At 56.2% G+C, this 19910-nt stretch overlaps 2 protein-coding genes, 1 long non-coding RNA gene and 2 pseudogenes across 5 annotated transcripts in view, besides 16 other annotated features; 2 read left to right on the top strand and 3 right to left on the bottom strand.

The window, feature by feature from the left end:
• The window catches only part of RABL6 (RAB, member RAS oncogene family like 6), a 33240-nt gene extending 25523 nt beyond the window's left edge, over nt 1-7717 (bottom strand). For all 3 annotated transcript variants that reach the window (NM_001173988.2, NM_024718.5, NM_001173989.4), the window contains exon 1: nt 7339-7717. In NM_001173988.2, the coding sequence (NP_001167459.1) occupies nt 7339-7468 (130 nt within the window). In that variant the 5' untranslated portion in view covers nt 7469-7717. The remainder of the gene's footprint in view (nt 1-7338) is intronic.
• On the top strand, nt 134-3077 carry NCLP1 (nucleolin pseudogene 1; annotated as a pseudogene).
• Nucleotides 5791-6386, bottom strand: LOC100422233 (iron-sulfur cluster assembly 1 homolog (S. cerevisiae) pseudogene; annotated as a pseudogene).
• CCDC183-AS1 (CCDC183 antisense RNA 1) lies at nt 6817-11738 on the top strand. Its single transcript, NR_024580.1, has 5 exons — nt 6817-6938; nt 8463-8836; nt 9128-9280; nt 9537-9615; nt 10081-11738. It is a non-coding gene; the product is annotated as a CCDC183 antisense RNA 1 (long non-coding RNA).
• Nucleotides 6906-7435: a silencer, noted in NCBI's record as "silent region_20547". NCBI's record gives its function as "represses an Ori minimal core promoter by ATAC-STARR-seq in GM12878 lymphoblastoid cells {active_cell/tissue: GM12878}" and the evidence as "EXISTENCE:reporter gene assay evidence [ECO:0000049][PMID:35858748]".
• Nucleotides 7446-7575: a silencer, noted in NCBI's record as "silent region_20546". NCBI's record gives its function as "represses an Ori minimal core promoter by ATAC-STARR-seq in GM12878 lymphoblastoid cells {active_cell/tissue: GM12878}" and the evidence as "EXISTENCE:reporter gene assay evidence [ECO:0000049][PMID:35858748]".
• Nucleotides 7581-8177: an enhancer, noted in NCBI's record as "H3K27ac-H3K4me1 hESC enhancer chr9:139701940-139702536 (GRCh37/hg19 assembly coordinates)". NCBI's record gives its function as "activates a minimal SCP1, AML or CMV promoter by ChIP-STARR-seq in naive H9 embryonic stem cells {active_cell/tissue: H9 hESC(naive)}" and the evidence as "EXISTENCE:reporter gene assay evidence [ECO:0000049][PMID:30033119]".
• Nucleotides 7581-8773: a biological region, named in NCBI's record as "H3K27ac-H3K4me1 hESC enhancers GRCh37_chr9:139701344-139701939 and GRCh37_chr9:139701940-139702536".
• Nucleotides 7596-7655: a silencer, noted in NCBI's record as "silent region_20545". NCBI's record gives its function as "represses an Ori minimal core promoter by ATAC-STARR-seq in GM12878 lymphoblastoid cells {active_cell/tissue: GM12878}" and the evidence as "EXISTENCE:reporter gene assay evidence [ECO:0000049][PMID:35858748]".
• Nucleotides 7706-7875: a silencer, noted in NCBI's record as "silent region_20544". NCBI's record gives its function as "represses an Ori minimal core promoter by ATAC-STARR-seq in GM12878 lymphoblastoid cells {active_cell/tissue: GM12878}" and the evidence as "EXISTENCE:reporter gene assay evidence [ECO:0000049][PMID:35858748]".
• CCDC183 (coiled-coil domain containing 183) lies at nt 7924-19327 on the bottom strand. The gene is made up of 14 exons (NM_001039374.5): nt 19198-19327; nt 16442-16563; nt 15875-15952; nt 15496-15663; nt 15172-15276; nt 12879-13001; nt 11038-11163; nt 10849-10903; nt 10208-10308; nt 9427-9587; nt 8993-9161; nt 8798-8908; nt 8599-8695; nt 7924-8093 (listed from the first exon to the last, which is right to left on the bottom strand). Exons 1-14 carry the CDS (start codon nt 19265-19267, stop codon nt 7975-7977), a joined length of 1605 nt encoding a protein of 534 aa, NP_001034463.4. The 5' UTR covers nt 19268-19327; the 3' UTR covers nt 7924-7974.
• Nucleotides 8076-8305: a silencer, noted in NCBI's record as "silent region_20543". NCBI's record gives its function as "represses an Ori minimal core promoter by ATAC-STARR-seq in GM12878 lymphoblastoid cells {active_cell/tissue: GM12878}" and the evidence as "EXISTENCE:reporter gene assay evidence [ECO:0000049][PMID:35858748]".
• Nucleotides 8178-8773: an enhancer, noted in NCBI's record as "H3K27ac-H3K4me1 hESC enhancer chr9:139701344-139701939 (GRCh37/hg19 assembly coordinates)". NCBI's record gives its function as "activates a minimal SCP1, AML or CMV promoter by ChIP-STARR-seq in naive H9 embryonic stem cells {active_cell/tissue: H9 hESC(naive)}" and the evidence as "EXISTENCE:reporter gene assay evidence [ECO:0000049][PMID:30033119]".
• Nucleotides 14209-14736: an enhancer, noted in NCBI's record as "H3K4me1 hESC enhancer chr9:139695381-139695908 (GRCh37/hg19 assembly coordinates)". NCBI's record gives its function as "activates a minimal SCP1, AML or CMV promoter by ChIP-STARR-seq in naive H9 embryonic stem cells {active_cell/tissue: H9 hESC(naive)}" and the evidence as "EXISTENCE:reporter gene assay evidence [ECO:0000049][PMID:30033119]".
• Nucleotides 15120-15329: a silencer, noted in NCBI's record as "silent region_20542". NCBI's record gives its function as "represses an Ori minimal core promoter by ATAC-STARR-seq in GM12878 lymphoblastoid cells {active_cell/tissue: GM12878}" and the evidence as "EXISTENCE:reporter gene assay evidence [ECO:0000049][PMID:35858748]".
• Nucleotides 15340-15499: a silencer, noted in NCBI's record as "silent region_20541". NCBI's record gives its function as "represses an Ori minimal core promoter by ATAC-STARR-seq in GM12878 lymphoblastoid cells {active_cell/tissue: GM12878}" and the evidence as "EXISTENCE:reporter gene assay evidence [ECO:0000049][PMID:35858748]".
• Nucleotides 15340-16124: a biological region, named in NCBI's record as "H3K4me1 hESC enhancer GRCh37_chr9:139693993-139694696".
• Nucleotides 15421-16124: an enhancer, noted in NCBI's record as "H3K4me1 hESC enhancer chr9:139693993-139694696 (GRCh37/hg19 assembly coordinates)". NCBI's record gives its function as "activates a minimal SCP1, AML or CMV promoter by ChIP-STARR-seq in primed H9 embryonic stem cells {active_cell/tissue: H9 hESC(primed)}" and the evidence as "EXISTENCE:reporter gene assay evidence [ECO:0000049][PMID:30033119]".
• Nucleotides 15508-15684: a silencer, noted in NCBI's record as "fragment chr9:139694433-139694609 (GRCh37/hg19 assembly coordinates)". NCBI's record gives its function as "represses an EF-1alpha promoter that drives an FKBP-Casp9 reporter gene in an ReSE screen in HepG2 liver carcinoma cells {active_cell/tissue: HepG2}" and the evidence as "EXISTENCE:reporter gene assay evidence [ECO:0000049][PMID:32094911]".
• Nucleotides 18394-18688: a silencer, noted in NCBI's record as "tiled region #12102; K562 Repressive DNase matched - State 5:Enh". NCBI's record gives its function as "represses a minimal TATA promoter and a strong SV40 promoter by Sharpr-MPRA in K562 cells {active_cell/tissue: K562}" and the evidence as "EXISTENCE:reporter gene assay evidence [ECO:0000049][PMID:27701403]".
• Nucleotides 19405-19906: an enhancer, noted in NCBI's record as "H3K4me1 hESC enhancer chr9:139690211-139690712 (GRCh37/hg19 assembly coordinates)". NCBI's record gives its function as "activates a minimal SCP1, AML or CMV promoter by ChIP-STARR-seq in primed H9 embryonic stem cells {active_cell/tissue: H9 hESC(primed)}" and the evidence as "EXISTENCE:reporter gene assay evidence [ECO:0000049][PMID:30033119]".

The following is a 19910-nucleotide window of genomic DNA, read 5'->3' as shown; positions in this document are numbered from 1 at the left end:
CTGGGCCCATTACAAGGGCCCAGCCACCTCCCCACCCTGACAGCCTGTGCTGCAGCTGGTGTCAGCCACACCTTGCTCCTCTCCCACTCTGCACCCTGCAAAGATTTCCCATCCTCAGCAGCTTCAGACTACTTGGTGTCGAGGCAGGTAAAAACCAAGGTGACCCCAAGAAAATGGCTGCTCCCCCAAAGGAGGCAGAAGGAGGAAGTGAAGATGAGGAAATGTCAGAAGATGAAGAAGATGACAGCTGTGGAGAAGAGACTGTCACACCTCAGGAGAAAGGCAAGAAGGCTGCTGCAACCCCAGCCAAGAAGGTGACAGTTTCCCGAACAAAAAAGGCTGCAGGTGCCACACCCACCAAGAAAGCAACTGTCACTCCAGGCAAAGCAGTCGCCACACCTGCCAAGAAGGGAGCCATAGCAGGCAAAGCACTGGCAGCAGCTCCTGGCAAGAAGGGACACCCCAGCCAAGGGGGCAAAGAACGGCAAGAACGCCAAGAAGGAAGACAGCGATGAGGAGGAGGATGACTCTGAACCAGCAGTGATGAAGGCAGCAGCGGGTGCCCCTGCCTCAGGGGATGAGGACGAGGACGATGAGGACGATGCTGAGGAAGATGGCTCTGAAGCAGCACCTATGGAAACAACACCAGCCAAAGGAAAGAAAGCTTCTACAAATGCTGTTCCTGGGAAAGCCAAGAGGATGGCTGGGAATGAAGATGAAGAGGATGATGAGGACAAGGACGAGGGTGACGATGATGAAGAGGATGAAGTGATGAAGACGACAAAGAGGAGGAAGGGTCTGTCAAAGAAGCACCTGGAAAATGAAGGAAATGACCAAACAGCAGCTTCTGAAGCCAAGAAACACAAAGTGGAGAGTGAGAAGCACAGAACCAACTGTGCCTTTTTTTTTTTTTTAAGACAGGGTCTCACTCTCTCGCCCAGGTTGGACTGCAGTGGCGCAATCTTGGCTCACTGCAACCTTCACCTGCCAGGCTCAAGTGATTCTCCTGCTTCAGCCTCCTGAGTAGCTGGGATTACAGGCGTGTACCACTACCACCCGGCTAATTTTTGTATTTTTAGTAGAGACGGGGTTTCACCATGTTGGCCAGGCTGGAACGTCTTTCAATCTTTGTTGGAAACCTGAACTTTAACAAGTCTGCTCCTGAGTTAAAAACTAGTATCCATGGGCCAGGCCTGGTGGCTCACGCCTGTAATCCCAGCACTTTGGGAGGCTGAGGTGGACAGATCACAAGGTCAGGAGTTTGAGACCAGCCTGGCCAACATAATGAAACCCTGTCTCTACTAAAAATACAAAAATTAGCCGGGCGTAGTGGTGCGTGCCTGTAGTCCCAGCTACTGGGGAGGCTGAGGCAGGAGAATCACTTGAACCCGGGAGGTGGAAGCTGCAGTGAGCACCATTGCACTCCAGCCTGGGTAACAGAGCAAGACCCTGTCTCGAAAAAGAAAGAAAAACAAAAACTAGTATCCATGATATTTTTGCTAAAAATGATCTTGCTGTTGTGGATGTCAGAATGGGTATGACAAGGAAATCTGACTATGTGGATTTTCAAGCTGCTGAAGACCTGGAAAGAGCCTTGGAACTCGCTGGTTTGAAAGACTTTGGCAATGAAATTAAACTAGAGAAACCAAAAGGAAAAGACAGTAAGAAAGAGCAAGATGTGAGAATACTTTTGGCTACAAATCTCCCTTACAAAGTCACTCAGGATGAATTACAAGTGTTTTGGCTGGGCGCAGTGGCGCAGTGGCTCACACCTGTAATCCCAGCACTTTGGGAGGCCAAGGCAGGCAGATCACGAGGTCAGGAGATCAAGACCATCCTGGCTAACACGGTGAAACCCTGTCTCTACTAAAAATACAAAAAATTAGCTGGGTGTGGTGACGGGTGCCTGTAGTCCCAGCTACTCGGGAGGCTGAGGCAGGAAAATGGCGCAAACTTGGGAGGTGGAGCTTGCAGTGAGCTGAGATCACGGCCACTGCACTCCAGCCTGGGCAACAGAGCGAGACTCTGGCTCAAAAAACAAAAAAGTGTTTGAAGATGCTGTGGAGATTGGATTAGTCAGCAAGGATGGGAAGAGTAAAGGGACTGCTTATATTGAGGTTAAGACAGAAGCTAATGCAGAGAAAACTTCTGAAGAAACGCAGGGAACAGAGATGGATGGCCGATCTATTTCCCTGCACTATCATGGAGAGAAAGGTCTAAATCAAGACTAGAGAGACCACTTGGAGGGGTGAATCAAAAACTCTGGTTTAAGCAACCTCTCCTACAGTGCAACAGAAGAAACTCTTCAGAAAGAATCTGAGACAAGGCAACTTTTATCAAAGTGCCCCAGAACCAAAATGGCAAATCTAAAGGGTGTGCATGCACTTACAGTTCGCTTCATTTGAAGATGATAAAGCAGCTTTAAATTCCTGTAATAAAAGGGAAACTGGGGGCAGGGCAATCAGGCTGGAGTTGCAAGGACCACCTGATGCCAGGAGCCAGCCATCTAAAACTGTCTGTCAAAGGCCTGTCTGAGGACACCACTGAAGAGGCTTTAGTCATTCGACAGCTTTGTTGGGCAAGGGTAGTCACCAACCAGGAAACCGGGTGCCCCAAAGGCTTTGGCTCTGTAGATGGCAACAGTGAGGAGGATGCCAAAAGCGCCAAGGAGGCCGCGGAAGATGGTGAAATTGAGGGAAACAAAGGTAACTTGGACTGGGCCAAACCTAAGGGCGAAGGTGGCTTTGGGGTTGTGATGGAGGTAGAGGAAGCTTTGGAGGATGAGGTGGTGGCAGAAGCCAGGAAGGCTTTGGTGGGCGAGGCAGCTTCTGGGGAGGCAGAGGTGACCACAAGCCACAAGGAAAGAAGACAAAGTTTGAACGGCTTCTGTCCCTTTGTCTTTCCCTCTCCCATTTGAAAGAAAGGACGCTGGGGTTTTTATTCCGTTACCTGATCAATGACAGAGCTCTCTGAGGACATTCCAAGACAGTCTACAGTCCTGTGGTCTCCTTGGAAATTCGTATAGACAACATTTCAAGGGTAATACCTTCCTTGTTTGTTTTGACTGGATATTCATATAAACTTTTCTTTCTTTTCTTTTTTTTTTAAGACGAAGTCTCACTCTGTCGCCCAGGCTGGAGCGCAGTGGTGTGATCTTGGCTCACGGCAACCTCTGCCTCCCGGGTTCAAGCGATTCTCCTGCCTCAGCCTCCCGAGTAGCTGGGATTACAGGCATACGCCACCACACCTGGCTAATTTTCATATTTTCAGTAGAGATGAGTTTCATCATGTTGGCCAGGTTGGTCTTGAACTCCTGACCTCATGTAATCCGCCCACCTCAGCCTCCCAAAGTGCTGGGATTACAGGTGTGAGCCACCGTGCCCGGCCTGCTAAGTCCCATTTCTAAATTCGCACCAGTGTCTACTCAGAGAGGACTCTGGTTGTCCGAGCTCCTGGGCCAGGCCAGTATCAGAGCTGCACAATAATGCTCACTCAGGAGCAACTCCACAGAAAAATTCTGCACCAAATACAACTGATATTTTGTGTCCAGTCACAGTAGAAAGGGACAGACCAACTCAGGCAACAATCTTTCTTCCAAATAATTTCAAATAATTTTCCTAATAATTTTATATGCAAATAATTTCAAAATTGTGTAAACCAAAATTAAAATCCCAAGGCCTGCCAACCATCTGAATGGACTTCCTCTTCTAGGCCAGGGCCATCCAAATTTCATCTGAAAGACTGGTTCAGGCCATTATGGGAAGAGGGGAGTCAGACAGGCCTCATTGTGGCCTCCTCCCTTCTGGAATTCAGGAAAAGCTCACCAGCATTTAACATCAACACTGACTTTAAGTCTGATAAGAAACATAATCTGGCCAGGCGCGGTGGCTCACGCCTGTAATCCCAGCACTTTGGGAGGCCAAGGGGTTCGGACTGCTTGAGTAGAGGGGTCTGAGCCCAGCTGGGCAACGTGGTGAAACCCTGTCTCTCTAAAAAATACCAAAATTAGCTGGGTGTGGTGGTGCAATTGTTTTTTTTTTTTTTTTTGAGACAGGGTCTGACTCTGTCACCCAGGCTGGAGTGCAGTGGCACAATCTCAGCTCACTGTAACTTCTGCCACTTGGGCTCAAGCGATTCTCCCGCCTCAGCCTCCTGAGTAGCTGGGATTACAGGCACCCACCATCACACCCGGTTAATTTTTATAGTTTTAGTAGAGACGGGGTTTCGACATGTTGGCCAGGCTGGTCTTGAACTCCTGGCCTCAGGTTGTCCGCCTGCCTCGGCCTCTCAATGTGCTGAGATTACAGGCGTGAGCCACCGCGCCCGGCAAAAAAACACAATTTTTTTAAACTACCTCCGACCTGGAAGCCCCCACTTCAAGTTGTCCCGCCTTTGTGGACCAAATCAACATATATCTTAAATGTATTTGATTACTGTCTCATGTCTAAAATGTATAAAACCAAGCTGTGCCCTCCACCTTGGGCACATGTCCTCAGGGTCACCTGAGGGCTATGTCACGAGCCATGGTCACTCATATTCAGCTCAAAAATAAATCTCTTCAAATATTTGACAGAGTTTGACTTTTTCATCCATTATGGTCCAATGTCTCATTCGAGTTTTTATTCTAAAACCAGTGGGTGTCCCACACGTCTACCGGGACCACTAGCAACTCCGAGCAAATGCAGGGCCCAGGAGGAGAGCCCAGACTCCTGGAAACCCGCAGCAGTTCCCAGAAACTCTCACCCCCAAAACCCTCGACTCTGTCTTGATCACATTGCTGGTCTGTTACGCTCTGTAAAATATTTGAGAAAATAAATACCAGAAAGCCGGGCATGGTGGCTTACGCCTGTAATCCCAGCACTTTGAGAGGCTGAGGCGGGCAGATCACGAGGTCAGGAGATTGAGACCATCCTGGCTAACACGGTGAAATCCTGCCTCTACTAAAAATACAAAAAATTAGCCGGGCGTGGTGGCCGGTGCCTATAGTCCCAGCTACTCGGGAGGCTGAAGCAGGAGAATGGTGTGAACCCGGGAGGAGGAGCTTGCAGTGAGCTGAGATCACGCCACTGCACTCCAGCCTGGGAGACACAGCAAAACGCAAAACTCTGTCTCAAAAAAGAAAAGAAAAGAAAAGAAATACTAGAAACTTTCTATTCTAACACAGAAACTCAAAAGTTTTAAAATTGCATGTTATTCAGCTATAAAGATAACATCTTTCTAAAATGTAATTTAGGTACAAATTCAAATTTCTCTCTGTCTCACCACCTTTCATTCAGTTCTAGGAGATCATAACCTGTTCTCCAAGTACTGGAGACTGGCTTTTCTCCTCTGGAAGGACCCCATTGCCCTTTTTAGTCACACTCGCCCAGGACCACACAGGGGTGGTCCTGGTGCATGAGGTGGACCTTGCCCAGGACCCTCGGGGAGCCTTTTCAGAAGGTGAACAGTTTCCAGGTCCAGGCCTGATTTCCCAGGGACTAATACTGAGCTTAGCCAATACTGTAAGCAATAAAATTAAATAAAGGATCCAAACGCAGAGTCTAAAAACTGGCGTAAACTCAGTTATTTTGACTCAATATTCTCTTCTCCGAATGCCAGCTATGTATAAAGTTTCAATTATAACACATTTAAAATCAGCTTTTATTTTTATTCAAAATGCACCACTTTATTTTCCTTACCAGACAGCCAAGCATTAAGCACGTTCCAGTCACGTGACTTCTTCAGCGAGCCCCCAGGCTTCCACTCCACGGGAGTCTGGGAGCTCCTGGACAGAGGAGTCCTGAGATTTCAAATAGTCAAGCCTTCTCCCCAGCCACAAGTTCCTTTGATGCTTGGGTTACTGAACACAAACGCAATGGATTGTTTGTCTTCAACATAATCCGTTTCTGTTCCTAAACGTGTTGGCTGCGCTTTCTTTCTGATGAGCACGCTGACTCTAATTTGAACTTCATCAAAATCTTCTTTGTCGTCGTATGTTCTAGAGTATAAGAAAAGCCAATACGGCCCTTGGTTCGGACATCAACTTTCTTTTAAATTTTTTTTTCGTATTTTTAGTAGAGACGGTGTTTCACTATGTTGGCCAGGCTGGTCTCGAATTCCTGACCTCGTGATCTGCCCGCCTTGGCCTCCCAAAGTGCTGGGATTACAGGCATGAGCCACCGTGCCCGGCCCGGACACCAACTTTCATACCTAGATGCTCAGACTTATCTTTAAGAAGTTGTTTTATCTTGCTTACTGCTAAAGGTGTCTGGGTGAGGGTGGCCCGAGTGGTCTGCAGCTTCCTCTTGCTCACAGGCCGGGGGACTAAGGAAGGCGACATCTTCACTGTCCTCCTGGACTAGCTCCAGCCCCAGGAACTACGGCCTCTCTCCGTGCACACGGCACGCGAATTCATGAACTTGCTTTTAAACCTGCACAAGAGTCTTTCTGATCATTAGTTCTTAAAATTCTACATTACCATGGAAATATCACGGAGGCTCTAAGGCTCCCCTTAAAGTGACCAAAAAACTGGATAGGCGTAGCGTCCTAAAACCTCATAGAAACATACGGAAATGGCTAAGAGGGAAGCAATGTCAAAACAGGGAACCACATAAAAGCTTTCAAAAACTACTGGGAAAGAGCCCGCAAGATGGAAAAACTCATAAGAGGTCGAGGACAATTTACACAATTTATAACAAAGGAATGGAGCGTCCCAGGCACTCAGGAGTCCGTAAATGACTCCTCCTTCCTACGAGAAATGGGATGTCTCCTACAGTCGCAAGTCAGCCCGTGCCTTCTGGAGCTTTTCTAGATACGTCTCTTACAAACGCTTCTTTTAAAAAAAAAGGCGAGAATGTGTGGCGTAGCTAATATTCTGTCTTCAAACTCAGTAGGAAGTCAACAAAGAAAAATCCCGCTGAAAGCGCCAAGGCCGGCTGGGTTCCCCGCACCTCCTGCAGGTGAGTGGTGCCCGGGGCTGGGCACCGTGGAGCGTCGGGGGCGCGGCGCCCCGGGCCGGCGGGCCCTGCTTGGCATTATGTAATCACCCCCGGGCCGGGCAGCCGGGCCAACCCCGCCGCCGCCGACCCGCTCCACTGCACAGCGCGGCGGGAGCGACACGCGGCAGGCGAGTGCGGCTGGGAAACGACCCGCGGCTCGGGGGCCGCGAGGACCCGGCCCTGGCCTGGCCTCTCCTCGCGTCCCCTGGCCCGCGCCCCCGCTCCCGGAGCGCCCGGCGGGCCCAGCGCACCCCACAACCGGCAAGCAGGTGAGACCGACACCCACCACCGCGCGGCGCCCGGGGCCTGGGTTCGGAGACCCGCGCGGCGCTCCCGCGCCCCCCCGGCCCGCCGCACTCACTGTTGTACTGCACCCCCTTGGCGAAGCGCCTCTGCAACGCCTGGTTCATGGACTGCAGCCCGGCGGGGATGTTCTTGTCCCGGCCCGGGGCCTGGTCCGACCCCACCAGCTTCTTCAGGGCGGAAAACATCTTCCCGCTCGGACGTCCCAGCCCGGGCGCGGCCGGCGAGCTCAGCGGCGGCGGGGAAGGGGTGCGACTGGCACCATGTCCCGGCGGCCCCGGCCCCCCCGGAGGCCGGAGCCGGCGCGGCCAGAGGCCGGGGTCCCGGCGGCGGAGCGCAGCCCCGAGCGGCGACTCGGGAACCTCAGCCGCGGCTGCTCCGCTCCGGCCCCCGCGGCCTCCGGCGCGACCGCTCTCCAGGAGTCAGCGCCGCCATCTTGGCGCCGGCTCGGCGGGACGGGAGGGGTGCGCGGCTACGGGGCGCCGCGAGGGCCGCGGGGGCGCGGCGCGCGCGGTCGGCGCATGCGCACGCGGTTCTGGCGCGCAGTTCCGGGCCCGGGCTGCCTCCTTACGCAGAACCTCCCCCGATCCTGCGTGTCCCGTGCTCCTCTCCGAGACCCCGGTCGCCCCAGCGTCCGCAGCAGTCCTGGAAAAATGTTTATTTGTGTAGCAAAGCAGGGAGCGGGGCGGCGGGGCTACTTCTTCTTTTTCTTGGCCGCCTTGAGCTTCCCCTCGATTAGCCGCTGCGCCTGCCTCTTGATCTCGGCGCGCGAAGGGACGTAGCTGTGGTCCATGTCGGGGAACTGGAAGGTGTCTGCGGGCGGAGGCGGCGGCTCGCACACGGGGCTAGCCCAGCTAGGCGCAGCCGCCCGACCCGCCTCTCGCCCCCGCCCTCCACCGACCCGGGCCAGGTGCCTTGCCCCAGGGACAGCCCCAGCGTGCCGGGAGGACTCAGCCCAGCCCATTCGCAGCGGCTCACGCTGCCCTGCCTAGCCTTTCCCGCAGAACCCCCAGTGGAAGCTCCGGCCCAGGCCTTCACCGCGCTCCTCCCTGCTCCAGCCCTGGTGCCTCTCCTCCGGGCCCGTCTGGCATGGCATGCCTCCTCCTTTCGGAGAAATTAACAAGGTATTTCAGTGGCTTTAGCCTCCCCATGGCATCACTAAGTCACCTCCATCAATTAAAGTCCTGCAGGTACAACTGATGCACCCTGTAGCCCCGCTGTCCCTCCAGGATGTCCCGGTGGGATGGGAGCCGGCGCCACCCCGACCTGTGTTCCAGCCACCCGCCTGCAGCCCGGGCCCCAGTTCCGGGGCCTGTACCGATCATATCCTCCTCCCGGTTCTCAAAGCTGATCCTGGTGTTGTACTTCTCCATCAGAGTCGAGGACTCCAGGGTGTCCCTCACCTTTGTGTCGCCCTGCAGGGCAAAGCCCCCTTCAGCCGTGCAGACACTCTGAACGGGAGCCTGTCAGCTTTGAGGGGACGTGGGCTGTGCAGGTTCCTCCCAGCCCGGGGCTACCTCCTCGGTCCTGGACACCATCTGCACTCTGTCAGCCAGGTACGTGAGCTTCCCCTCGCAGTACGCCAGCTTGCTGTTCAAATCGAGGGTGTTGGAGAGCACCACTTCTCTCTGTAGGCCGGGAGGAGGGTCTCATCTCCCCTCTGGCCCTGCCCAGGGACCTGGTGTGTGGCAGCTCAGCCTCACTCCCGGTACCTGGGTCGCAGGCAAGTTAATGCCCATCAGCCGGACATAGAGGTTGTCGATGCCCATCTGGATGGTCAGCAGCAGCTCCTGGCCCTTGGTCATGTTGCTGTGCGCCAGCTGGAGCCTCTCTTCTTCCTCTTTTAGCATGTCTGTCATTTTCTTCTCAACGGACTTGAAGCTGCAGAAGGCAATAGGGACACAGCAGTGAGGGGCACAGGCCCGAGAGCCATGGTGGGCCACCCAGGAGCCCAGTCCTGAGTTGGGTGCTGTGCCAGAATCAGGGACTCAGAAGCTCAGGTGTGTGCAAGTGGAGTCCCCTGGCCCCTCTGTGGGACACACAGGCTTGTTGGCAGTGGGTATACTCCCAGCTCCCAGCCTGGCTGCAGCCCGGGGCCTTTGTGAGACTGGGGTGGGTGGCCCGCAGCCCCGGAAGCCCGGGGCACCTGATGGAGCTAGGCTTCTGGCGGAACTTGAGCACGGCCTCCTCCAGCTCCAGCTGCTTCACCAGGGCCTTCAGCTGCACCCGCCACTCCTCACAGTCCTCCATCTGCAGCTCCAGGTTCTCCTCCGTGTTCCTCTGGGCCAGGAAGCGGCTAGTGATGTCCTGGCCAGTCCGGGGGAGAGAGAAGCAGGTGTGGGCCAGGATGGTGGGCAGAGGGGGCTTCACAGAACTGGTTTCTTCTGGGCCCCTCCTAGACGCTAGTGCACTTTCTCTGTGCTCATTCACAAGTGTGATCACAGCTCACTGCAGCCTCAACCTCCCAGACTCAAGCGATCCTCCCACCTCAGCTTCCTGAGTAGCTGGGACCACAGGTGTGCACCACCACACTTAGCAGGGGTGAAGCGCTTTGTGGATGTCATTGCACACGACCCTAATGGCAGGCAGAGAGGGTAGATAACCCCATGTAGAGATAAGGAGATCATCACTGAAGGACGTTGTGTCACTTGAGTCACTTGTCTGACAGTGGACAAGCTTGTGTCAGGGCAGTGGTTAGGAGCTCAAGGCCTAATAATAATAAACGCAGATACACAGATGGGATTAAGATAAAAGGATTTGGGGCGGCCGAGGGAGTTGCCACTTTGTGTGTCCATTTCAGAGTGCCTCAGACCCCAGCCCAGCTCAGCCACCCTCCTGCCATGCTCCGGGAGTGCCAGGGAGCATTACCCAGACGTGAGAGGCTCAGCCACCCTCCTGCCATTCTCTGGGAGCGCCAGGGGCATTACCCAGACGTGAGAGCACCGTACAGCACTCTTGACCTTCTCCACCACAGCAGTCACGCCCGACTGGTATTCCATTTCTGCTGTGGAGGTCTCTTTTCTCCTCACTGGCAGAGCAGAGGGGAGGGGCAGTCAGCATGCAGGGATGGCTCAGGGGCTCTGTGTAAGGCTGTCAGACACCTCTGTACCTGCCCAGCTGCTGGGGCGGCCACCCAAGACACAGGCATCCTTCAGAGATGCCTGCCCCCGCCCCAACCTGCTCCCTCCTCAGCCCAGCCCTGCAGGGACGCCCCAGGCAGCCCCAGAGCAGAGGTGGACCCGGAGTGAGTGGCGCAGCACTGTGAGCACTGTGGGCCCGGTGGTGCTTCTCAGAGGCAGCTTAGGGGTCAGGATGCTCATCCTCTGCAGAGTCACTGGGGACTGGGCCCTTGGTGCAGGGCCCTTGGGTGCTGGGGCCAGCATCTCTGAGGCCACATTTGGCTACAGGCTCTCAGCCTCTGGAGGGAGAGGCAGGGACCTGTCCTTCCCTTCACCCTGGCGACCACATGTCACACCTGGCCTCAGGGTGACTTGATCCGTTGGCCTGAATCAGTGCCAGCCTCTCCTTGGGACCCTGGCTGGGGGCAGGTGGGGAGCTGAGCGCTTACATTTCAGGGTCTCCGTGCTCATCAGGTTCGAGGGGAAGTCCAAGTCCATCTGGCCCTGATGGGAGGTGGGGGCGGGGAAGGGATGAGACATCCTTGGCAGGGAGTGGGCCCTGAGTGGTGGCCCTGAGCCTGTGTCCACCCAGCTGTCATGGGGATGGGCAGCCAGCCAGGCCCTGGCCTGGGGCTTACCCGGCGGTACTTCTCGCTGGTCTCCTTCGTGTGGATCTTGTCGATCAGCTTCTTCTGCTGGTTGAGCCGGTTCTCCCTTGCCCGGCGCTCCTCGATGAAGGACGCCTCCCTTTGCCTCATGTTCCTCTGGGGACATGCGGGTGGGCACAGGGTTGGGGAGCTGTCTCAACAAGGCCCCTAATGGCAGTAAAGCCAGCGGGCGGTTGGCCATGCTCACCTTACTAGACTTTGGAACTGCATCCCCGGCCAATGGCCACACCCTTTTCCTAAACCACTTGTGCCCGTGGCCCCTCAGCTCACGGCCCTCCTTGCCCATGCCTCAGAGCATGTGCCAGCCCAGACGCTCTGCTGCCCTCCAGCCGCTGGCCCCCAGCTGCCTCCTGGCCAGGTCCACCTAGAACTCACGGAAGTGCATTCAGCCTGCCTGAAGACAGATTCATCCTCTTCCCCAAAACCTGGCCTCTTCCAGCGTGCCCTTGGGCAGCTAAAACCGTCATCTGCTAACCCCTGCTCACGCACCCCAGACACTGCTCTCACCCTCGCCACTCTCGTTGCCAGCGCTTAGTGGGGTTGCCTCTTGAGGAGTTCTCAGCTCCGTTGCTCCTGGCCACCCCTTCTCCACCCCGGGTATACCCAGGTGATCAGCGCTTCTGCCCTGGCACCTTCCAGTCCCTGCAGCCTGAGTACACCCTTTCTGAAGCACAGACCTGGTCACATCTTTCCTCCACCTCCTCCCAGGGCTCCAGGTCAGTCCTTGGGCCCCCAGCCCAGCCGCCTCCGTGGACTCCTGGGGCCTGTGCCTCTGCAGCCTCCACTGCCCTGGCCACACGCTGCTCCATGTATCACACCCCTCCCAGCCCAGGGCCTTTTCCCAAGTTGTACCTCCTCCTCCCTAGCCCTGGCCACACCTGACCTTTGCGGGTTCAATCCCTCAGCCCAGCTCAAGCACTGTCTTCCTGGAAAGCCATCTGCCACCCCACCTGTCTCTGCTGAGCTGGCTCAGGGGCTGTGTGGCATTTCTTCATGGACTACTGGATGAGTGCCACCCACTTCAGGAGGACAGGGTCTGCCTGTCCCGGTCCCTGCTGTATCCCCAGAGCCTTGCAGGGACCTTGGCACAGACTGGGTGAATAGGTGACCCCCGCCCTGGCCCGGCCAGTTCTCTCCCTCTCCTCTACTTCATGGCTCCTGTGCTGGATGGGACCTGCTCTGTCCAGTGGGTGAGCAGAGCAGGCTGGCCGGGCTGGCCACTGGATCCTTCTGGGGATTGTAGGCAGTGTGGGCATGGGGGTCTCCTGAGAGACCCTGGCCAGAAGACACAAGAGAGCCCGCCCTGGGGGGCCCCAGCCCTGGGCCCTGAGCTCACCTTGACCCCATCCGAAGATCCAAGAGGGCTGGCCCTGGGGGGCCCCCAGCCCTGGGCCCTGAGCTCACCTTGACCCCATCCGAAGATCCAAGAGGGCTGGCCCTGGGGGGCCCCAGCCCTGGGCCCTGAGCTCACCTTGACCCCATCCGAAGATCCAAGAGGGCTGGCCCTGGGGGGCCCCCGGCCCTGGGCCCTGAGCTCACCTTGACCCCATCCGAAGATCCAAGAGGGCTGGCCCTGGGGGGCCCCCAGCCCTGGGCCCTGAGCTCACCTTGACCCCATCCGAAGATCCAAGAGGGCTGGCCCTGGGGGGCCCCCGGCCCTGGGCCCTGAGCTCACCTTGACCCCATCCGAAGATCCAAGAGGGCTGGCCCTGGGGGGCCCCCAGCCCTGGGCCCTGAGCTCACCTTGACCCCATCCGAAGATCCAAGAGGGCTGGCCCTGGGGGGCCCCCAGCCCTGGGCCCTGAGCTCACCTTGACCTCATCCGTGATCATCATGGCATCTTGGGACATGATCTTCATATCCGACAGCTCTGAGCAGTAGTTGACCACGAGGTTCTGCAGCTTGTCCAGCTCAATGGGGTATCCTGCCAGCACCTGTGTTGAATGGGGTTCTCTTGTGGCCCCTACAGAGTGGGCTGCAGTTGCCCCGAGCTTTTATCCCCCGACTAAGAGCCCTGAGAACAGTGATAGGTTCTCCTCTGTGGCCCCAGCCACCTCCCCCACTCCCCGCTGGGCACAACGGTGATGAAAGGTGTTTCACAGGGAGTGGACAGTGCTGGCCTGGTGGACTCTTTCACCACCTAGGGTCCAACAACCCAGAGAGACTGAGAGAGTTTGTGATGAAATGCTCTGCAGAAAAGGCTGACTGAAACCCGGGGAGGTTTGGGGACAGTTCTGCTTTGAAGTGAAACAGAGGGGCTCAAGACATGGGCTTGGGGTCAGAGAGTCAGGATTCAAGGCCAAGGCAGCTTCTGACCAGCTAGTTTAGCTGTGTGACATTGGGAAAGTTACTTAATCTCTCTGTGTCCCCATTTGTAAGATGATGGCTCGTTCAGAAGGTTGCCATCAGGATGAATTGAGTGTAAAAGGAATTATTTAGCCCAGAACCAGGTACATACGTGCTCAGGATAGCTTTGCTATAGTGGTTTGTTTTTTGTAACTACAAGTATAGGCCAGGTGCGGTGGCTCACGCCTGTAATCCCAACACTGGGAGGCCGGAGGCAGGCAGATCATGAGGTCAGGAGTTAGAGACCAGCCTGGCCAACATAGTGAAACCCTGTCTCTACTAAAAATACAAAAAAAATCAGCCGGGCGTGGTAGTGGGCGCCTGTAATTCTAGCTATTCGGGAGGCTGAGGCAGGAGAATCGCTTGAACCCGGGAGGCGGAGGTTGCAGTGAGCCGAGATCTCACCACTGCACACCAGCTGGGGCAACAGTGTGAAACTCCATCTCAAAAAACAAAACAAACAAAAACAAAACTAGAAGTGTAGAATCTTCATTTTTAAAAATATGGATGACTATGGGAATTATTGCTTGTTTTTTCCTTTGTTCTGAGACTGAATCTCACTCTATCACCCAGGCTGGAGTGCGATGGTACGATCTCGGCTTGCAGCAACCTCTGCCTTCTGGGTTCAGGTGATTCTCGTGCCTCAGCCTCCCGAGTAGCTGGGATTACAGGCATGCACCACCATGCCAGGCTACTTTTTGTATTTTTAGTAGAGATGAAGTTTCACCATGTTGGCCAGGCTGGTCTAGAACTCCTGACCTCAAGTGATCCGCCTGCCTTGGCCTCCCAAAGTGCTGGGATTACAGGCATGAGCCACCATGCCCAGGCCGGGAATAATTGTTTTTTAAGTGTGTATGTTCTAAACAGAAGAAGGCGCTACCAGAGGAACAGAAAGCACCCAGGCGAAGGAGGGGCATGGACAGGGGTGGGGAGAGGGGTGGGCCCAGGAAGCATAGAGGGGCAGGGCTTCCAGGTGAGCCAATAGGACCAGGGGCCAAGGCAAGAGGGACAAGCAGAGGACGGTGCTGAGAGCCACCTGGGCTGGGACCACAGCAGGAAAAGAGCTGCGATGCAGCCTCCGTCCACCACTCCTCCTAAACTGCACTTCCATGCTGTCACCTTCCCGAAGCATGGCTCTCCAGAGCTCCCCTTTGCCCAGTCTTAGGGTGAGGGTGTTTCCAGCTGGCTCCCCGCCCCATCCACAGGTTGCTCCTCTTAGCACCTCCTGTGCTCTCCCTATCTACAGCCCATCTGGAGTAGGTTCTGCTTTGTGGCAGCCCGAGGGGCGGTGCTCAGCCTCCCATGAAGGGGGTCTTCCCTCACAATCGGACTGCTGGCTGCCTTTGGCCTCGTCTGCAGGGAGCAGGGCGGGTGGGCTGGCTGGGACGGCAGCAAGCCCTGCTTACAGGCCCAGCGGACCCTCAAAGGTGCAAGGACTTTCTGAGGGTGCAGGACCTGTCTGACTCTCAGAGGCCCAGGCAATGAGAAAATGACAGGCAAGATACAAACAATACCAAATCATTTAATACGTGCAAGAAAGTCCGAAGAATTCTGATATACCCCACGATATGCTTTTTTGGAATAGCCAAAAATGAAGTTTAAAAAAACGTTTTCCACATGCCTCGGCGTCCTGCGTAGCCGGTGGTCAGGCAGAGCTCCCTCTCCCTGGCGGGTGCGGGGCGGCTCCGCCCCAGGACGCTCCCGCCCCTCCCAGATCCCAGCCCCTGACCCCCGCCCTTCCCGGGCCGCTGGGCTCACTGTCTTCAGATAATCCAGCAGGTCCAAATACAGCAGGTGGATGTTCTGGCTGGTGATGATCTTGATCATTGTCTTCTCGATGTTGTTCTCCAGCTGGCGGATGATCTGGGGCGGACCGAGGGCGCAGTGAGAGGGCGTGGGGACCGGCCGCCCGGAGGGTGTCGGGGCTGGGTTTTCTCCGGAGAGGGTCGTGCTCTCTTAGCCCCGCCCCTCCCGTGAGCCCTCCCCAGGGGACCCGCAAGTCCCGCCCCCCGGTGGCCCCGCCCCTCCCGTGAGTCTTGCCCCAGTGGACTCCGCCCCGCCCTCCCAGCCCCGCCTCTCCACCTGCAGCAGCCGCAGCTCCTCCTTGCTGGCGTCGGGCTGGCTCCGCAGGCTGTCCAGCTCCAGCTGCATGCTCTCCAGCTTCTGCCCGCGCCGCCGCACCAGGTGGATCAGTAGGTTGTGCATGTTCACGCGGTCGAAGACGTACTTGCGCAGCTTCTCCCGCACCACCTGGGTCGGGAAGGGCACCGCCCACTCGTGGTTGCGTAGGGGGCCGCCATGGAGCCCGCCAGCAGGCGGGCGGGTGGAGGCTCGTGGCAACCCCACAGGGAACCTGGGGCTGGGCACCTGCTCCGTCCCTCGTCGGCTCCGCAACATCTAGTGGGGGGGTGCTGGCAGGGGTGGGGAGGGTTGGGTCTCGAGGCCCCTCCTGCCTGGTTACCTCCATGGTGCTGCGGCAGTGCGCCAGTCGCAAAGGCAAGTTTTTCCCGCAGGCCTTGGAGATGGTCCACTGGTCATACTGCGGAGCGGCGGCGGCTGAGCTAGAGCGGGCCCTTTGCGCACCCGCAGCCGCTGGCTCCTCCAGGCATTCTCCCCAGGGCCTCTTGTATCCCACGCTAGCCCAGTAGCGAGATCCCTGCTTCCACGAGGAGCAGAGAGCCGCGGGACCCCATCCTGGCCATCCAAGTTCGGAGGCGACGTGGTAGGGGGGTATGCAGAGGAGGGCCTGGGTGTCCCCTAGCTGGCCGGAGAGCCAGAGGGGGCCCCTGCTGCAGGATGTGGGCTCACAGATGCCAAGCCCTCGGGTTGGGTGGTGGGAAACCTGCCCACCGGATGCTGGGGTGACTGGAGCCCAGGGCACAGGTCCTAGCAGAGCCCCTCCTCACATGCCCCCTGGATCCAGAAAGATTGGGGTGGGGGTGGAGAGGAGGTGCCCGCCCTCCGAGTGTGTGTGTACTCAGCTCCTGCCCTGCTCGCCAGGCAGAGGGGAGGGGCGGCGTTTGTGTACCTTCTTGGCCAAAGCCCAGTCCTGGGCCCCGCGGCGGATGTTGCTGCGCAGGAGGGCCAGCGTGGCCTTGTTCTGGTCCATATTCTCTTTCACCCCTTGGATCTGGAGTGCCCGACACTGCTCTGTGGGCAGGTGGAGGGGACACAGTGGCTAGGATTGGGCCAAGGGCCTGGCCTGGAATCCCCTGGGGGAGGCTTGCATCAGGGAGGCCCCAGGCCCCAGGGTCCAGGGGGATGCCCCCTCCATGGCCAAGATCCCTCCTCCCGCCCTGTCCTGGGGGACACCGCTCCACTGCCCAGCAGCAGCTGTCTGAAGGGCTCTCAGTGGACAGGTGCGGGGAGGTGGACAGGTGGGGAGGGTGAGGCAAAGGAGAGGGATGGCAGGGTCCTGTGGTCCCGTCCAGATTTGCTGCCCATGGAAGCAGGTGGGTGTTTTCCTGTCCATTCTGGCTTTGGGGCCCGTGTTGCTCTTATGCTCACGTCTCCTTGAAGCCCCTCTCTCTGATTTAGTCCCTCCATGCAGGTCCCTTTGATCCCTTCTCCCAGCTCTGTCAGGGAGTGGGCAGTAGGGGGGTCTGTTTTCCCCTCCATGTCCTGGATTGTCCCTGTATTAAAACTAAAAGTCCTAGGCCAGGAGCGGTGGCTCACACCTGTAATCCCAGCACTTTGGGAGGCCGAAGTGGGCGGATCACCTGTGGTCAGGAGTTCGAGACCAGCCTGGCCAACATGGTGAAACCCCATCTCTACTAAAAATACAAAACTAGCTGGGTGTGGTGGTGTGTGCCTGTAGTCCCAGCTACTCAGGAGGCTGAGGCAGAATTGTTTGAACCCAGGAGGTGGAGGTTGCAGTGAGCTGAGATTGCACCACTGCACTCCACCTGGACGACAGAATGAGACTCTGTCTCAAAAAAATAAATAAGCTAGGCGCCGGTGGCTCATGCCTGTAATCCCAGCACTTTGGGAGGCCGAGGCGGATGGATCACCTGAGGTCAGGAGTTTGAGACCAGCCTGGCCAAGATGGGTAAACCCCGTCTCTACTAAAAATACAAAAATTAGCTGGGCGTGGTGGTGGGCACCTGTAATCCCAGCTACTCGGGAGGCTGAGGCAGGAGAATCACTTGAACCCGGGAGGTGGAGGTTGCAGTGTGCTGAGATTGCACCATTGCACTCCAGCCTGGGTGACAGAGCGAGACTGCGTCTCAAAATAAATAAATAAATAAAAATACAAATACGAAAATTAGCTGAGTGTGGTGGCGTACACCTGATGTCCCAACTAATCAAGAGGCTGAGCCAGGAGAATCGCTCGAACCCGGGAGGTGGAGGTTGCAGTGAGCCGAGATCATGCCACTGCACTCGAGCCTGCGTGACAGAGCGAGACTCTGTCTCCAAACAAACATCCCCTAAAAGTGAAGGGGGCCTGCCCCTCCACACCTGCGGGTATTTCTCGTCAGGTGGGATGAAGACTGAGAAAAGAAATAAGACACAGAGGCTGGGCATGGTGGCTCACGCCTGTAATCCCAGCACTTTGGGAGGCTGATGCGGGCAGATCACGAGGTCAGGTGATCGAGACCATCCTGGCTAACACGGTGAAACCGCATCTCTACTAAAAATACAAAAAATTAGCCGGGCATGGTGGTGGGTGCCTGTAGTCCCAGCTACTTGGGAGGCTGAGGCAGGAGAATGACGTGAACCCAGGAGGTGGAGCTTGCAGTGAGCCGAGATCGCGCCACTGCACTGCCGTCTGGGCAACAGAGCAAGACTCCATCTCATAAAAAAAAAAAAAAAAGACACAAAGTATAGAGAAAGAACAGTGGGCCCAGGGGACTGGCACACTCAGCATGCGAGGACCTGCACCAGCCCTGGTCTCTGAGTTCCCTCAGTATTTACTGATCATTATTTTTACTATCTTGGTGAGGGGAGTGTAGCAGGGCAACAGGTGGTGAGAACGTCAGCAGGGAAACATGTGAGCAAAGGAATCTTTATCATGAATAAGTTCAAGGAAAGGTACTATGCCCAGATGTGCACGTAGGCCAGATTTGTTTCACGTTACACAAACATCTCAGTGTAGCAAAGAGTAACAGAGCAGTATTGCTGCCAGCATATCTTGCCTCTAGCCACAGAGCGGTTTTCTCCTATCTTAGAATAGAACGAATGGGAATGGTCGGCTTTACACTGAGACATTCCATTCCCAGGGACGAGCAGGAGACAGATGCCTTCCTCTTATCTCAACTGCAAAGAGGCCTCCCTCTTTCACTACTCCTCAGCACAGACCCTTTACTGGTGTCGGGCTGGGGGATGGTAAGATCTTTCCTTTCCCACGAGGCCATATCTCAGGCTGTCTCAGTGGGGGGAAACCTTGGACAATTCCCAGGCTTTCCTGGGCAGAGGTCCCTGCGGCTTTCTGCAGTGCACTGTGTCCCTGGTTAATCAAGAATGGAGGATGGGGATGACTTTTACCAAGCATACTGCCTGCAAACACATTGTTAACAAAGCACATCCTGCACGGCCCTAAATGCATTAATCTTTGATTCAATACAGCACATGTTTCTGTGAGCACAGAGTTGGGGCTAAAGTTACAGGTTAATAGCATCTCAAAGCAGAAACAATTTTTCTTAGTACAGATCAAAATGGAGTTTCTTATGTCTTCCTTTTCTACATAGACAGTAACAATCTGATCTCTCTTTTCCCCACAAAAAGTTGTGCACCCAGAAACCCCCAGACGGGAAAGGGAGACTGGTCACGGCGGTGCAGGCTCACCCTGGAGCTGAGTGATGGTCTTCAGCTCCTGGGTCTGCTCTTCCACATCTGTCTCACTGTGCCTCCTCATGGCTGCTCTCAGGCCCCCCAAGGGACCCTGTGTACCTCAAAGCCTCCCTGGGCTCAGCTTGCTCAGAGCCGCCACTCAGATTGTCCCCAGAACCTCAGCCCATTATGATGAGAGCCAGGATTCTCAGTGCCTGGGCAACCCTGGAATTGCAGGGCCTCCTGCCTCACTCTGCCCCCAGCCACCTTGGGGTGGCCTCCAGACATGTGTCCTAATTGAAATGAGTCTCCTGGCAGCTGCTCGAGGCTTAGGAGCTCTGCCGGGCGGATGTGCTTTCTTTGAGGGGGAGGTTTGTGATGGGTCTGCAGCACCGGCAGCTCACACCTGCACTGGGTTCCCTCCCTGGCCCCTCCCATGCCCCAAGCCATCCTCCACAAAGCAGCAGGCCGAGCCTCCTAAAACGATTCTGATACTATTCTGATACTGCCTTACGGGACCTCCCTCTGCACCCCCCACCCCCAGCCCCAAGTCCAAACTCCATGCACTGGGTAACCTGGCTCTTGGGACACCCCCACCTTATCTCTTCTGACTTCTGTCCCTGACCTCTCTGTGCTGTCTGGAGCCCACCCTGCTTCACCCCCACTTTCCTTTGGGAATTACTGGGTCTTGGGTTCATGTGTCACTCCAGAAAGGGTATGTTCTCCAT

This window comes from Homo sapiens, chromosome 9, assembly GCF_000001405.40.
Source record: "Homo sapiens chromosome 9, GRCh38.p14 Primary Assembly".
NCBI classification, from domain to species: domain Eukaryota; kingdom Metazoa; phylum Chordata; class Mammalia; order Primates; family Hominidae; genus Homo; species Homo sapiens.
Note: the sequence above shows the minus strand (reverse complement) of the source record. Positions and strands in the feature narration are given on the sequence as shown.